The sequence below is a fragment of the Homo sapiens genome, chromosome 20 (assembly GCF_000001405.40).
Source record: "Homo sapiens chromosome 20, GRCh38.p14 Primary Assembly".
In the NCBI taxonomy this organism is placed as follows: Eukaryota; Metazoa; Chordata; class Mammalia; order Primates; family Hominidae; genus Homo; species Homo sapiens.
The window spans coordinates 35,665,637-35,680,177 of NC_000020.11; the positions used below are offsets into that span (position 1 = coordinate 35,665,637).

Below are 14,541 nucleotides of genomic sequence, written 5' to 3' on the forward strand. Positions count from 1 at the left end.
GCGGTGGCTCACGCCTATAATCCCAGCACTTTGGGAGTCCGAGAAGGGCGGATCATGAGGTCAGGAGTTCGAGACCGGTCTGGCCAACAAGGCAAAACCCAGCCTCTACTAAAAATACAAAAACTAGCTGGGTGTGGTGGCGGTGCTTGTGGTCCCAGCTACTTGGGAGGCTGAGGCAGGAGAATCGCTTGAACCCGGGAGGTGGAGGTTGCAGTGAGCCCAGATGGCGCCATTGCACTCCACCCTGGATGACAAAAGCGAAACTTCGTCTCAGAAAAAAAAACAAAAAAAGAGTTTTAATCTAGGGCAGGGCGCAGTGGCTCACGCCTGTAATCCCAGCATTTTGGGAAGCCGAGGCGGGCGGATTACCTGAGGTCAGGGGTTCAAGACCAGCATGGCCAACATGGCGAAACCTCGTCTCTACTAAAAATACAAACATTAGCTGGGCGTGCTGGCTGGCGCCTGTGGTCCCAGCTACCAGGGTGGCTGAGGCAGGAGAATCGCCTGAATCCGGGAGGTGGCGGTTACAGTGAGCCAAGATAACGCCATAGCACTCCAGCCTAGGCGACAGAGCAAGATTCCGTCTCAAAAAAAAAAAAAAAATTAAATCCATCGTGACCCCTCCACGGCTTCACTATAGTATTATTTTATTATAGAAAAAGCTATTCTCTGGCTGGGCGTGGTGGCTTACGCCTGTAATCCCAGCACTTTGGGAAGCCGAGGTGGGAGGATCACGAGGTCAGGGGATGGAGACCATCAGGAGAGCGAGACTACATCTCAAAAAAAAAAAAAAAGAAAGCTGTTCTCAAGCCGCTTTGGGCCTAGCCCCCCGAACTTCATGCCCCTGCTAATTAAAAGCTGGATGTGGTGGCTTAAGTCTGTAGTCCTAGCTACTCGGGAGTTAGAGGCAGGAGGATCCCTTGAGCCCAGGAGTCCGAGGCTGCAGTGAGCTATGATTGCATCACTGCACTTTAGCTCAGGTAACAAGAGCAAGACCCTATCACTTAAAAAAAAGAAAAAAAAGGTTGAAATTATCACAATTCCAACAACCTTTCGGGATTTCTATGGCAGACTGGACTGGTGCTAGCCCAGTATGCCAAAAACAGCAAGTTGGAAAACCAGGCCACACTGTTAAACTAAACCTATGCTTTATAGGTTTTTATAGGTTTGCTCTGTGTAGGTAAAACATAGTCCATTAAAAACAAAACCTACTAAATGCAATGTAGCATCCAGGGTTGGATCCTGGAACAGAAAAAAGACAGGAAAACTGGTGAAAGCTGAATAAAATCTGAAGTTTAGGCCGGGCATAGTGCCTCACACCTGTAATCCCAGCATTTTGGGAGGCCAAGAGGCAAGAGGATTGCTTCAAGACCAGCCTGAGCAACACAGGCCCAGTCTCTATAAAAAAATCTTTAATAATTTTAGAAAATCACGTTTCATTAATACTAATATACCAATGTTAACCTCTAAGTTTTGACAAATGTACCATAGTTTTCTTTTGTTGTTTTTTTTTTTTTTTTTTGAGACAGAGTCTCACTCTGTCATCTAGGCTGGAGTGCAGTGGCACAATCTCAGCTAACTGCAACCTCCACCTCCAGGTTCAAGCAATTCTCCTGCCTCAGCCTCCCAAGTAGCTGGGACTACAGGTGCGTGACACCACGCCCGGCTAATTTTTTGTATTTTTAGTAGAGACGGGGGTTTCACCGTGTTAGCCAGGATGGTTTCCATCTCCTGACCTCGTGATCCACCTCCCTCCGCCTCCCAAAGTGCTGGGATTACAGGCATGAGCCACCGCGCCTGGCCTTGTTTTTTGAGACGGAGTCTTGCTCTGTTGCTTAGGCTGGAGTGTGGTGGCACCATCCCGGCTCACTGCCACCTCGGCTCACTGCTACTTCTGCCTCCAGGGTTCAAGCTATTCTTGTGCCTCAGCCTCCCAAGTGGCTGGGATTACAGGCACCCACCACCATGCCCAGCTAATTTTTGTATTTTTAGTAGAGACAGGGTTTCGCCATGTTGGCCAGGCTGGTCTCAAACTCCTGACCTCACGTGATCTGCCTACCTCAGCCTCCCAAAGTTCTGGGATTACAGGCATGAGCCACAGCACCCAGCCTATTGTTGTTTTTGAGACAGGGTCTCACTCTGTCGCTCAGGCTTGAATACAGTGGTGCGATCAAGGCTCACTGCAACCTTGATCTCACGGGCTGAAGCGATCCTCCCACCTCAGCCTCCCAAATAGCTTGGACTACAGGTGGGCACCACCACGCCTAGATAATTTTTGTATTTTTTTGTAGAGTAAAGGTTTTGCCATGTTGCCCAGGCTAGTCTTGAATTCCTGAGCTCAAGCAATCCATCCACCTTCGCCTCCCAAAGTACTGGGATTACAGGTGTGACCCACCACACCCAGCCAAATTAGCATAGTTTTATGTAAGACTTTTTAATTAGAGGAAAACTGGTAATAGATCTACAACTCTACTATCTTTGCAACTTTTCAGTAAATCTAAAATTATTCTAAGTAAAAAAGATATTTTTCAACAAGAAAAATTCTATAATTTCATCTCCTCCTTCCACTGTCCATCTACATTTACCAAACTTTAGCCCAGTGGCTTTCAAACTTTCCTGTCCCCCTGCTACTGGCAAGTATGAAAAGCAATTAAACTTTTTTGACCATTATCCACAATAAGAAATACATTTATAACCTGGTATACAAATTCAAATATATCATCAAAATATATTCTTAAAATATGCATAAATGTACTCTAACATACTATCTCCTTTTTTAAGTACTGGTAACTACCCACCTATGGGTTCAGACCCACAAATGAAAAGCTCTAGTTACAATGGCCTTCTCTTGGTTTCTAAAGTATAATACTTTGTGCTTTATCACACTTCAGGCCCTTAGCTCTTGCCATTCCTTCTCACCTCTCATTTCTAGATTAGCGAGCTCTTCATATTTATAAGCACTACCTCCTCAGAAAAACTTTCCTCAAACACCCAGCATGGTAGGTTTTCCCTGCTATGTCCTCTTACCACTTAATTCTTTCATAGCACTTATCACAATCTATAACATTGTTTATTTGTTTAATTATTTTCCATCTCTCCACTAAAATTTAAAACTCAGTGAGGGCAGGGTCTTTTTTGGTCCTGTTAACCAGTGTATTCCTAATACCCAGAACAAATCTGGCTCCTGGCAGGCATTCAAATAATTCTTAAATGAAGAGATACAAAAGCCCACTGAGTCATTTATGCAAATCAGATGGAGTGGCGGTCTTCTCCACAATTCCCAAGTACAGCTTCCACTTTTCCCTCAACCTCTCATAAAGTCACAGAGTAAATAGAAGGTGAGTTTATTTCTCCAGTCTTGAAATTAACAATTTTCAAGAAAACAAATTATTAGAATAACTGGTGGAGTCACAGACATATTTCTAGCTCCATTAGGTCAAAGGAAAGGAAAGAGGACAAGGGTAGAAAGGAGACAAGCCCTCTAAGAAACTGTCCATTCAGTCTGTCTGCAGTCAATATGAAGAGATAGCCTTTGGAGCTACAGAAAATATTACATTGAAGTGGATTATGCTTGCTGTTAAAGAAGCTGGTCCAGCCGAGCAGCAGCAGAAGACGAAGACTCAAATGTCCATGTAGAGCATCATGGTCCCTGACCAAAGAGACTTCTTCTGGTTCCTCTTGCTCTCCTCACCAAGAGCACAGATGTGCCCAGCAGCAATATGACAGCAAATGTCTCTATGGCTTCGGGATGAAAATGTCCACACACTTTAAGACCCGAGAAGAAATGGGGAGTGCTCCACACCCAAGGAACTGAAGCTAGGGAAAGACAGTTTTCTTGTGTTTCTGTCATAGAGGTGGACTGATGCTGAAGTCAACTGGTCTATACCAATCTAGAGCATCCACTAGGTGTAACAAGGTGTCTGGTTGTGCACGGGTTGGTGAGGCAGGAGGGGCCAGACCAGCACAAAGTCAGGGCCCTATTCTTCTAGTGTTGGGTCCACTTGATGCTCTTGAGGTCAATGCCATCCTGAACCATCTCCCAGAGAGGGCTGCCAAAGAGAAGAGGCATTAAATGAGTGAGGGCTTAGATAGGAAGTCGACAACATTGGCCCCAAGGCTCTGAGCAATGGCTTGCCTCCTTCTGTCCCTGTCTGTCCTCTGCCTCTTGCCCTGGTAGACCCTAACACAGGTGGTTAAGGTATCCTGAGCTCTCCAGCTCCCTGTAAGTCCTTGTCAGCTCTCCTGAGAGCTCTCCCCAACTGCTAACAGGAATAACTAGGTTCCTCAGGCTCAATTGCAGTGGGGCCCTGAGCCAATGGACACCAAACATGGTCATATTCTTGAAGCTTTCATCCCACTGGTAAGAGGCTATGGCCATGGTTTCCCTTGGAGGAACCAAGACCCTTGAGACTTGTATAAACATCTAGTTTAAGCCTCTCTTCATATGACATGTATAAGCAGCTCGTTTCAGCCCACCACATATTACCCGCTTTTCAGCATTTGTTTCTTGGTTTTGTTCTAGTTCCCAGTTAGGGGTGGAACTTAACCCTACATCATCTTGGTATGCTGTACCCTTACCCAGTTCTTGCCCGTTTCATCTCCCCAGAGTTGGCCTGTGCTTCCAATATCCCTGGGTCTAATCCAAAAGAATTCCTTGGATCTTAGACCTGAGCATCCCATCTCACACAAGAGCTGCTGCTAAGAAATCTCTGCTAAGCTCTGATCGATCCCCAAGCAGAAGCTTGGATATCTTGGATAATGTTCCCAGACCAGATATTACTTCAGTGTGCTATGAATATGGGATTTTACAGTTTAGATTTCACCAGGTAATTTTATCAAATTTCATTATATTCTTGACTTGTCCCTCTTCTATATACTAAACATTCCCAGAATGCCTTTCTATTCATGAGATTTTCCATGGCCCTTAAAGTTAGCCATCTCCTTCCTGTCCTTCCTCTTTAGGGAAGACCACTTATTATTATAGGCTCACAAAATAAGACTCTGAGAGCTAATAGGACCAGGCTGCATTCAGTTTGTAAAGGGTCAGAAGGAATAGGGTGCAGATGCCGAAGCCACATAGATAGGAAACAAAAGGCTTTGCTGGCCACGTGGTCAGTAGAAATGCCTTGTGAGTATACCACAGAATACCAGAAAGTGAGGACAAAGGAAGGGTCCTGCAGTTGAGCAAGCTATAGACACTTAAGCAATACAGCTAGACCCTACAAAGAAAAATCCAGAACACAGAAAGGCCTGGGAGAGCTCATAAAGGGAAGCAGAGTATATACCTGAAATTCCTCTCTCTACCAACTAGATCAAGAGAATCCTGAAAGTCAAGGTTAACCAAGACAGAGCCAGGCTCTGAAAAAATCTAGAGGCCTCAAGGTTCCAGGAGGAAGATGAGCTCTGTGGCTACTAGGGGAAGCCCTGGTGCCAGCTGACTGGCCAAGGATCTCATTACCTTTATAAACACATTGATTGATTGATTGAGACAGAGTCTTGCTCTGTCGCCCAGGCTGGAGAGCAGTGGTGCGATCTCAGCTCACTGCAAGCTCTGCCTCCTGGGTTCACGCCATTCTCCTGCCTCAGCCTCCCAAGTAACTGGGACTACAGGTGCCCACCATGCCAGGCTAATTTTTTTGTATTCTTAGTAGAGACGGGGTTTCATTGTGTTAGCCAGGATGGTCTTGATCTCCTGACCTCATGATCCGCTCACCTCGGCCTCCCGAAGTGCTGGGATTACAGGCGTGAGCCACCGTGCCCAGCCACAGAAAATATATTTTTAAAATTAGCTAGGTGTGGGGGCACACAGCTGTAGTCCTAGCTACTTGGGAGTCTGAAGCAGGAGGATAACTTGAGCCCAAGAGTCCAAAGTTACAGTGAACTACAACTGTGCCACTGCACTCCAGCCTGGGTGACAGAATGAGACACTTTCTCTAAAGATAATAATAATCATAATGAACAATACTACCTGGGCCAGGTGCGGTGGCTTGTGCCTGTAATCCCAGCACTTTGGGAGGCCAAGACAGGAGGACTGCTTGAGCCCGGGAGTTTGAGACCAGCCTGGGCAACATAGCAAAACTCCGTCTCTACAAAAAATACAAAAACTAACCAGGCATAGTGGCACATGCCTGTAGTACCAGCTACTTGGGAGGCTGAGGTGGGAGGATCACTTGAGCTTGGGAGGCACAAGTTGCAGTGAGGTGTGATTGTGCCACTGCACTCCAGCCTGAATAACAGAGCAAGAACTTGTCTCCAAAAAAAAAAAAAAAACTACTACCTGCATTACCTGCATTCATCTAGTTCTTTAGTTTGTTGTTTTTGTTTTTGTTTTTGTTTTCTTGAGACGGAGTCTCACTCTGTCACCCAGGCTGGAGTGCAGTGGTGTGATCTCGGCTCACTGCAAGCTCCACCTCCCAGGTTCACGCCATTCTCCTGCCTCACCTCCCGAGTAGCTGGGACTACAGGTGCCCGCCACCACGCCCAGCTAATTTTTTTGTATTTTTAGGAGAGACGGGGTTTCAACGTGTTAGCCAGGATGGTCTCGATCTCCTGACCTTGTGATCCACCCACCTCAGCCTCCCAGAGTGCTGGGATTACAGGTGTGAGCCACTGTGCCCGGCTTTTTTTTTTGGGACGGAGTTTGGCTCTTGTTGCTCAGGCTGCAATGCAATGGTACAATCTTGGCTCAACGCAACCTCCCCCTCCCAGGTTGAAGTGATTCTCCTGCCTCAGTCTCCCAAGTAGCTGGGATTATAGGGATGCGCCACCACTCCCGGCTAATTTTTTTGTATTTTAGTAGAGACGGGGTTTCTCCATGTTGGTCAGGCTGGTCTCGAACTTCTGACCTCAGGTGATCTGTCCGCCTCGGCTTCCCAAAGTGCTAGGATTACAGGCATGGGCCACCCTGCCCGGCCTAGTTCTTTAGTTTTTAAAAACACTTTCTCATTGTGAAGACAAGTAGCCAAGAAGATCTACTTTCTTGCTTTGTGGAATCTCTAAATCCTAAGATCCAAGTACGCTTGAACTTTGGTTTTGGCAGTGTAAACACATAGCCTAAGGACAAGAGGGGAGACAGTGCTAGAGTTTCTTCCAAAGCGTCTCTGATACAATATGTATACCTCATTTCTCGAAGACGCTTCACATGCTGAATGCATTTCTCCACTGTGTAGTCCACTTCCTCCTCTGTAGTGAAGCGGCCAATTCCAAACCTGAAAAAAGGCACAGGAGAATGGCTCCCCATCAGAGCTCTGGCACTGGGATAAATTCATTCCGCAAATACTCACTAAGGATCTACGACACAAAAGATATGGAGAGAAGAACATGGTCCTTCCCCTTTAGGCAGAGTTTCTCAGAACATGGTATATGGATCGGCCGGGCATGGTGGCTCACGCCTGTAATTCCAACAGTTTGGGAGGCCAAGGTGGACAGATCACATGAGGTTGGGAGTTCGAGACCAGCCTGGCCAACATGGTGAAACCCCGTCTCTACTAAAAATATAAAAATTAGCTGGGCCTGGTGGCACATGTCTGTAATCCCAGCTACTCAGGAGGCTGAGGCAGGAGAATTGCTTGAACCTGCAAGTCAGAGGCTTCAGTGAGCTGAGATCATGCCACTGCACTCCAGCCTGGGCGACAGAGTAAGACTCTGTCTCAGAAAAAAAAAAAAGAACATGATCTACGGACCACCAACATTAAAATCACCTGAGATGTTTTCTACTCCTCCTCCGGACCTAGTGAATCAGAATATCTGAATGTGGGACTCAGATATCATATTTCACAAACTTCCCAGGTGATACTCAATGAAGTCTGAGAACCACTGCTCTAGAAACTTTCACAAGGTTATGAGAAGAGATAAGGAGAACTCGACTGAGAAAAACTTCAGGGTGGAAAAAGAAAAAAACTGTAACAGGAGATGAAAAATATAAGAGGATGCCTTTCATAAATGTTGCAGCTCAACTCACTGACCTGATAGAAGAGTGCGCTAAATCCTCATCAGTGCCAATTGCTCTAAGCACATAAGAGGGCTCCAGGGATGCAGAGGTGCAGGCACTGAGGAGAGAGACACGAACCTTGTTCAGTTCATCATCAACGTCTACTTTTAGTCACAAACCCTCAGTCTTGTTCCCATCCCCCAGGGCCCTGGAGTCATACCCTGGAGAAAACAAGAGACCTTCTAATCTGGCAGAACTAAAGGACCTGATGCTCCCCTGCACATCCTAGGATGTGTGAACCTAGCTCCTCTGGCCCCCATGGTGGATGACTTCCTTAAGCAAGGACGCTGGCAAAGTGTGACAGAGCATGATACCACATGGGTTTGACAAGAAGACGCAGCAGAGGACCATGTGCTCACTTCCCCAGGACGTAATGCACCATCTGCACCAGCCTGAAGGGCAGCCAAACACTTAGTGGCCTTTGGAGCATCTTCAATTCTAGAGGCCTGTAACAGAACTGCTAGTGTAACCCACAACAGACACATACATCCCCTGGGACGATAAAAGGCACAAAATTCTACCCCAGGAAGTCTTCCTAGGGTGGTAAACTTCAGTCTGTACCCAGCTACCCAGCCAACCAAAAAAAGAGAGGCACTTACAAAATGACCTTTACCCTTAATCAAGAGGTCTTGTGCCTATCATCTCCACACTGGGAAGTTTAATAGCCTGTATGACTCTTCTAAGTGGCCCTGCCGCAGGCCCTGTCTATGCCGTCCAGCTCACCTCCCTGAGGATAAGGCAACGTCCTTCAGTGCCATCAGCAGACTTTCCCCTTCCACATATGCAAAGGAGAGGTTGATACAGCCTGGAGGAAAGAAATACTGTGAGAGAGGTCTCAGAGTCTCAGCCTCTACCAGAATGAGGATAGAAAGAGCAAGTCCATACCGGGATAATGGTGCTTAGGGTCCCCATTCATCACCACATCTGGAAGGCTCTTCATTATATTCTGTATCAGCCGCTCTGACAACTTTGAGATTCGCTTGTGGTCATACTAAGGAGCAGGCAAGGAAGGATTAGGCAGTAACCATTAACCAGCTCAGAAAGACAGTTTGAGAAGCCCTTCTCCTATAACTGGAAGTGACTATGTATCAGCCCCACCTATCATCCTATGTACTCATGGGGACCACTGTATCTCCAGTACTGAGCATAGTGCCTGGTATGCAAAAGGCGCTTGATAACTGGACACAGGGTTCATTTACTTATCCAGAAATAAATGAGCTGATAACTACTAAAAGGCCATGGGTTTTGAAGCCCATAATGTCTCCCTCAGAACAAGGTGCCAGCAGCACCAGGACAAGGAAGAGTTTTCTTAAGCCCTCTCTCCCTGCAGAGATCTGCCTCAGTCATGCTGAGAAGCCTCTAAATAGGAGACCCAGCACAGGGGAAGAAGTTGTGGGAGGGAACTGCTCTCCCCATACCTCCATCTCTTGCTGTGCCACCTCACACGCAGCCCCCAGCCCCACCACTAAGGGTGTGGGCACTGTCCCAGACCGCATACCCCGCTCCTGCCCCCCTCCACTCTGCAGGGCCTCCACACGCACACGGGGCCGGCGACGGATGTAGATGGCACCAACCCCTGGGAAACAAAATTTGTTACAAAAAACAGAAAGAGAGAAAAGTAGATAAAACAAAATATTTCTTTCCAAAGGGATCAAAATATTACTTCAACTTTTCTGTAAGCATGAAATTTTTCTAAATAAAAAACGTTAAGGAAAAGAAGAAACAGCAGTAAAAGCATAGTATTTAGTAAAATATTTAACATCTGGAAGATAAATGCCAGAAGGAGTAATGATCAAAATGGTTTAAAGTAGCTCCCTATGCTATATGAAATGCCATCATACATTACAGTATTATTCATAATAGCAAAAATACTGGGAACAACTTAGATGTCCATCATCAGGGTAATGGTCAAATAGATTATGGCATGTCCATACAATGAAATACCAAGCAGGTGTATAAAAGAATGAGGGGGCCGGGTGTGGTGGTTCACGCCTATAATCCCAACTGTGGGAGGTCAAGGCGGGCGGATCACCTGAGATCAGAAGTTAGAAACCAGCCTGGTCAACATGGTGAAACCCTCTCTCTACTAAAAATACAAAGATTAGCCAAGCGTGGTAGCAGGCACATGTAATCCCAGCTACTCAGGAGGCTGAGACATGAGATGAACCCAGGTGGTAGAGGTTGCAGTGAGCTGAGATCAAGCCACTGCACTCCAGCCTGAGTGATGGAGCAAGACTCTGTCTCCCAAAAAAAAAAAAAAAAAAAAGAAGAAGCTTGTTCTGAACTGACACCATAAAATCTCCAAGATACATTGTTACAAAACTGGTGAAATCCAAAAAAAAGTCTGTACTTTAGCTTGAAAAAACAAAGATGTATTGGCCGGGCGCAGTGGCTCACGCCTGTAATACCAGCACTTTGGGAGGCTGAGGTGGGTGGATCACCTGAGTTCGGGAGTTTGAGACCAGCCTGACCAACATGGAGAAACCCCTTCTCCACTAAAAATACAAAATTAGCCAGGCATGGTGGCACATGCCTGTAATCCCAGCTACTAGGGAGGCTGAGGCAGAAGAATTGCTTGAACTCGGGAAGCAGAGGTTGCAGTGAGCTGAGATGGCACCATTGCACTCCAGCCTGGGCAACAAGAGCAAAACTCCGTCTAAAAAAAAAAAATGTATTATGGGCTGGACACGGTGGCTCACACCTGTAATCCCAGTGCTTTGGGCAGCCGAGGCGGACAGATCATGAAATCAGGAGTTCGAGACCAGCCTGACCAACATGGTGAAACCCCGTAATTATTAAAAATACAAAAATTAGCTGGGCGTGGTGGCACGCACCTGTAATCCCAGCTACTCAGGAGGCTGAGGCAGGAGAATCGCCTGAACTTGGGAGCCACAGGTTGCAGTGAGCCAAGATTGTGCCACTGCACTCCAGCCTAGTGACAGAGCAAGACTCTGTCTAAAAAAAAAAAGATGTACCATTAGGTGAAAAATGAAAGATTGAAACAGTGAGTACAGTATGCTATCATCTGGATAAAAAAGAAAGCTGGAGGAGAAGTATATATTTGTTTGTAAACACATAGGATAATTGTAGAAAAACCCAAGAAATTGCCTCCCAATAACCAGAGAAAATCAGAAAAAAAAAAAAAAAAAAAAAAAAAAACCAAGAAAGAAATTACCTCCCCAGAAGGGAACTGCATAGCTGGAGGTCAGAGGTGAGAGGCAGACTTTTGTCTGTGCCTTTTTTTTCCCTTTTTTTTTGAGACAAGAGTCTTGCTCTGTTGCCCAGACTGGAGTGCAATGGCACGGTCTCAGCTCACCGCAACCTCCACCTTCCCGGTTAAAGTGATTCACCTGCCTCAGCCTCCTGATTAGCTGGGATTACAGGCACCCGCCACCACGCATGGCTAATTTTTGTATTTTTAGTACAGACGGGGTTTCACCATGTTGGACAGGCTGGTCTCAAATTCCTGGCCTCATGATCTGCCCGCCTCGGCCTCCCAAAGTGCTGCAATTACAGGCGTGTGCCACTGCACCTGGCTGTCTGTGCACTTTTTTGTAGCTTTTGAATTTTGAATCACATGAATATTACTTTTTCAAAATAAAATTTAAATTTAAAAACAATTTGGTGGAGCACGGTGGCTCATGACTACAATCCCAGCATTCTGGGAGGCCAAGGAAGGAGAATCACTTGAGACCAGAAGTTTGGGACCAGCCTGAGAAACACAGTGAGACCCCGTGTCTACAAAAAAAAAAATTAAAACTTAGCTGGGCATGGTGGCATGCACTTATAGTCCCAGCTACTCTGGAGGCTAAGGCAGGAGGATCACTTGAGCCTAGGAGGTCGAGGCTGCAGTGAGCTATGATCGTGCCACTCACTCCACTCCAGGCTGGGCAACAGACTGAGACCTTGACTCAAAAAAACAAAAAACTTAAAAATGCGTATAACCTGTGACTAAACAAGCCGAATTACAGAAATTTTGTGCCAAAATATGAGCATGAGCATGCAAAGTTATTCACCAAGTAATCAGGGCTTCTGAATAGAATTGGCACTTGACAGTTCTCCCACACAGAAAAACTGTTTATGCTGAGAATGGAGGTACTATAAAAATTAAGGCAGTGGTTTCCAAATCGATTATGAAGGACACCAGATTTTAAATAATAAGCTGGGTGCAGTGGGTCATGCCTGTAATCCCAGCACTTTGGGAGACTGAGGCGGGAGGGTTGCTTGAGGTCAGGAATTCAAGCCTGAGTAACATAGTGAAACCTCTATCTCTACAAAAACTGTTTTAAAAATTAGCCAGGCATTGGGCCGGGCACGGGATTACGCCTGTAATTCCGGCACTTTGGGAGGCCAAGGGTGGGTGGATCACCTGAGGTCAGGAGTTCGAGACCAGCCTGGCCAACATAGTGAAACCCTGTCTCTACTAAAAATACAAAAATTAGGCCGGGTGTGGTGGCTCACACCTGTATTCCCAGCACCTTGGGAGGCCGAGGCGGGCAGATCATGAGGTCAGGAGATCAAAACCATCCTGGCTAACACAGTGAAACCCCGTCTCTACAAAAATACAAAAAAAAAAAAATTAGCCGGGCGTGGTGGCAAGCGCCTGTAGTCCCAGCTGCTTGGGACGCTGAGGCAGGAGAATGTCGTGAACCCTGGAGGCGGAGCTTGCAGTGAGCCAAGATCACGCCACTGTACTCCAGGCTGGGTGACAGAGCGAGACTCCGTCTCAAAAAATAAAATAAAATACAAAAATTAGCCAGGCGTGGTGGCAGGCACCTGTAATCCCAGCTACTTGGGAGGCTGAGGCAGGAGAATCGCTTGAACCCGGGAGGCGGAGGTTGCAGTGAGCCGAGATCTCACCATTGCACTCCAGCCTGGGGGACAAGAGCGAGACTTTGTCTCAAAAAAAAAAAAAAAAAAAATTAGCCAGGCATGGCCGGGCACAGTGGGCCTATAATCCCAGCTACTCAGGAGGATGAGAGAGGAGAATCCCTTCAACCTGGGAGGCAGAGGTTGCAGCGAGCCGAGATCACACCACTGCACTCCAGCCTGGGCGTCAGAGTAAGACTTTGTCTCAAAAAAAAAAATTAGGCGTGTTGGTGCACACCTGTAGTGCTAGTTACTGGTGAGGCTGGGGTAGGAGGGTTGCTTGAGCCCAGGAGATTGAAGCTGTGGCAAGGTAGGATAGCACCACTGCACTCCAGCCTGAGCAACAGAGTGAGACCTTGTCCCTATAAAACAAATGAATAAAATAATGTATTAAACTGTATTTATTAAGAATTATTTCATTTCTCCATTTAAAAAAATTCAAGAATCTTATACTATCTGAGTCTAAACAGTTCCCAAATTCAAACAGCAAGTGCTCAAATACCATGTCTGAACAGTGAAGAATGCCACATTATCTAAATCTATTTAGATTCTGGACTTGGAAAGCAGGAGGTTGGATAATGAGGGACACCTGTACACATGTAAGTGTTGATCAGAGCTTCTGATCAATGAGTTCATTGGTTTTTTGTTTTTAAAATTTTTGTGAGTACACAGGAGGTATATATATTATGGAGTTCATGAGATTTTTTTTGTTTTTGAGAGGGAGTCTCGCCTGTCGCCCAGGCAGTGGTGTGATCTCGGCTCACTGCAACCTCTGGCTCCTGGGTTCAAACGATTCTCCTGCCTCAGTCTCCTGAGTAGCTGGGATTAAAGGCACATGCCACCACACCCGGCTAATTTTTTTATTTTTAGTAGAGACGGGGGTTCACCATGTTGATCAGGCTGGTCTTGAACTCCTGACCTCGTGATCCGCCCGCCTTGGCTTCCCAAAGTGCTGGGATTACAGGTGTAAGCCACCGTGCCCAGCCCATGAGATGTTTTAATACAGGCATATAATGTGAAATAGGCACATGATGAAGAATGGGGTATCCAGCCTGAGTTCATTGGTTTTTATCAAAAAGACTTATCTACAATAAAAGCCAATAAAAGCAACATTTTATTAAAAGACAGAACGCTTACTGGGCTTTTTGAAATAATAACTCACAAAAAACACTCTACAACCTCTGGGAACCCTTAGAAGACGCCATCTTCCATAATTCCAGAAGCTATTACACCTACTTCCACAAGGTATACACCCAGATAACACACCCTGCAGACATAAAAAGGGTACCAGCACAGACATCAACCCAAAAAAGGCCCTCACTTGAGAAAGAGGAGTTATATTTTATATTTATATTTTATGGTTACCTTCACAAAACAGAGGACAACAGTCTATTCCCAAGGGTTAAGGGAAAGAGGCATAACTCAAGCTTGAACACATTCCAATAGGACCATAGGGAACAAACATGTATCCTTGAGAGACTAACAGGATAACAGACTATGAAGTCTTCTAAGAATAAACACAAAGATAGCTGGGCTTGGTGGCTCACATCTATAATCCCAGCACTTTGGGAGGCCGAGACGGGCGGATCACGAGGTCAGGAGATCAAGACCATCCTGGCTAACATGGTGAAACCCCGTCTCTACTAAAAATACAAAAAAATTAGCCGGGCGTAGTGGCAGGC

General features: G+C 46.1%; 1 protein-coding gene across 3 annotated transcripts in view; it reads right to left on the bottom strand.

The window, feature by feature from the left end:
- NFS1 (NFS1 cysteine desulfurase) overlaps nt 2,416-14,541 on the bottom strand; it is a 31,301-nt gene continuing 19,175 nt past the window's right edge. For all 3 annotated transcript variants that reach the window (NR_037570.3, NM_001198989.2, NM_021100.5), the window contains 6 exons: nt 9,409-9,566; nt 8,876-8,981; nt 8,714-8,795; nt 7,965-8,048; nt 7,119-7,208; nt 2,416-4,049 (listed from right to left, as the gene is read on the bottom strand). Coding sequence is in view for 2 of the 3 variants with exons in the window: in NM_001198989.2 (NP_001185918.1) it covers nt 3,986-4,049; nt 7,119-7,208; nt 7,965-8,048; nt 8,714-8,795; nt 8,876-8,981; nt 9,409-9,566 (584 nt within the window). In the remaining variant the exon portion in view is untranslated. The remainder of the gene's footprint in view (nt 4,050-7,118; nt 7,209-7,964; nt 8,049-8,713; nt 8,796-8,875; nt 8,982-9,408; nt 9,567-14,541) is intronic.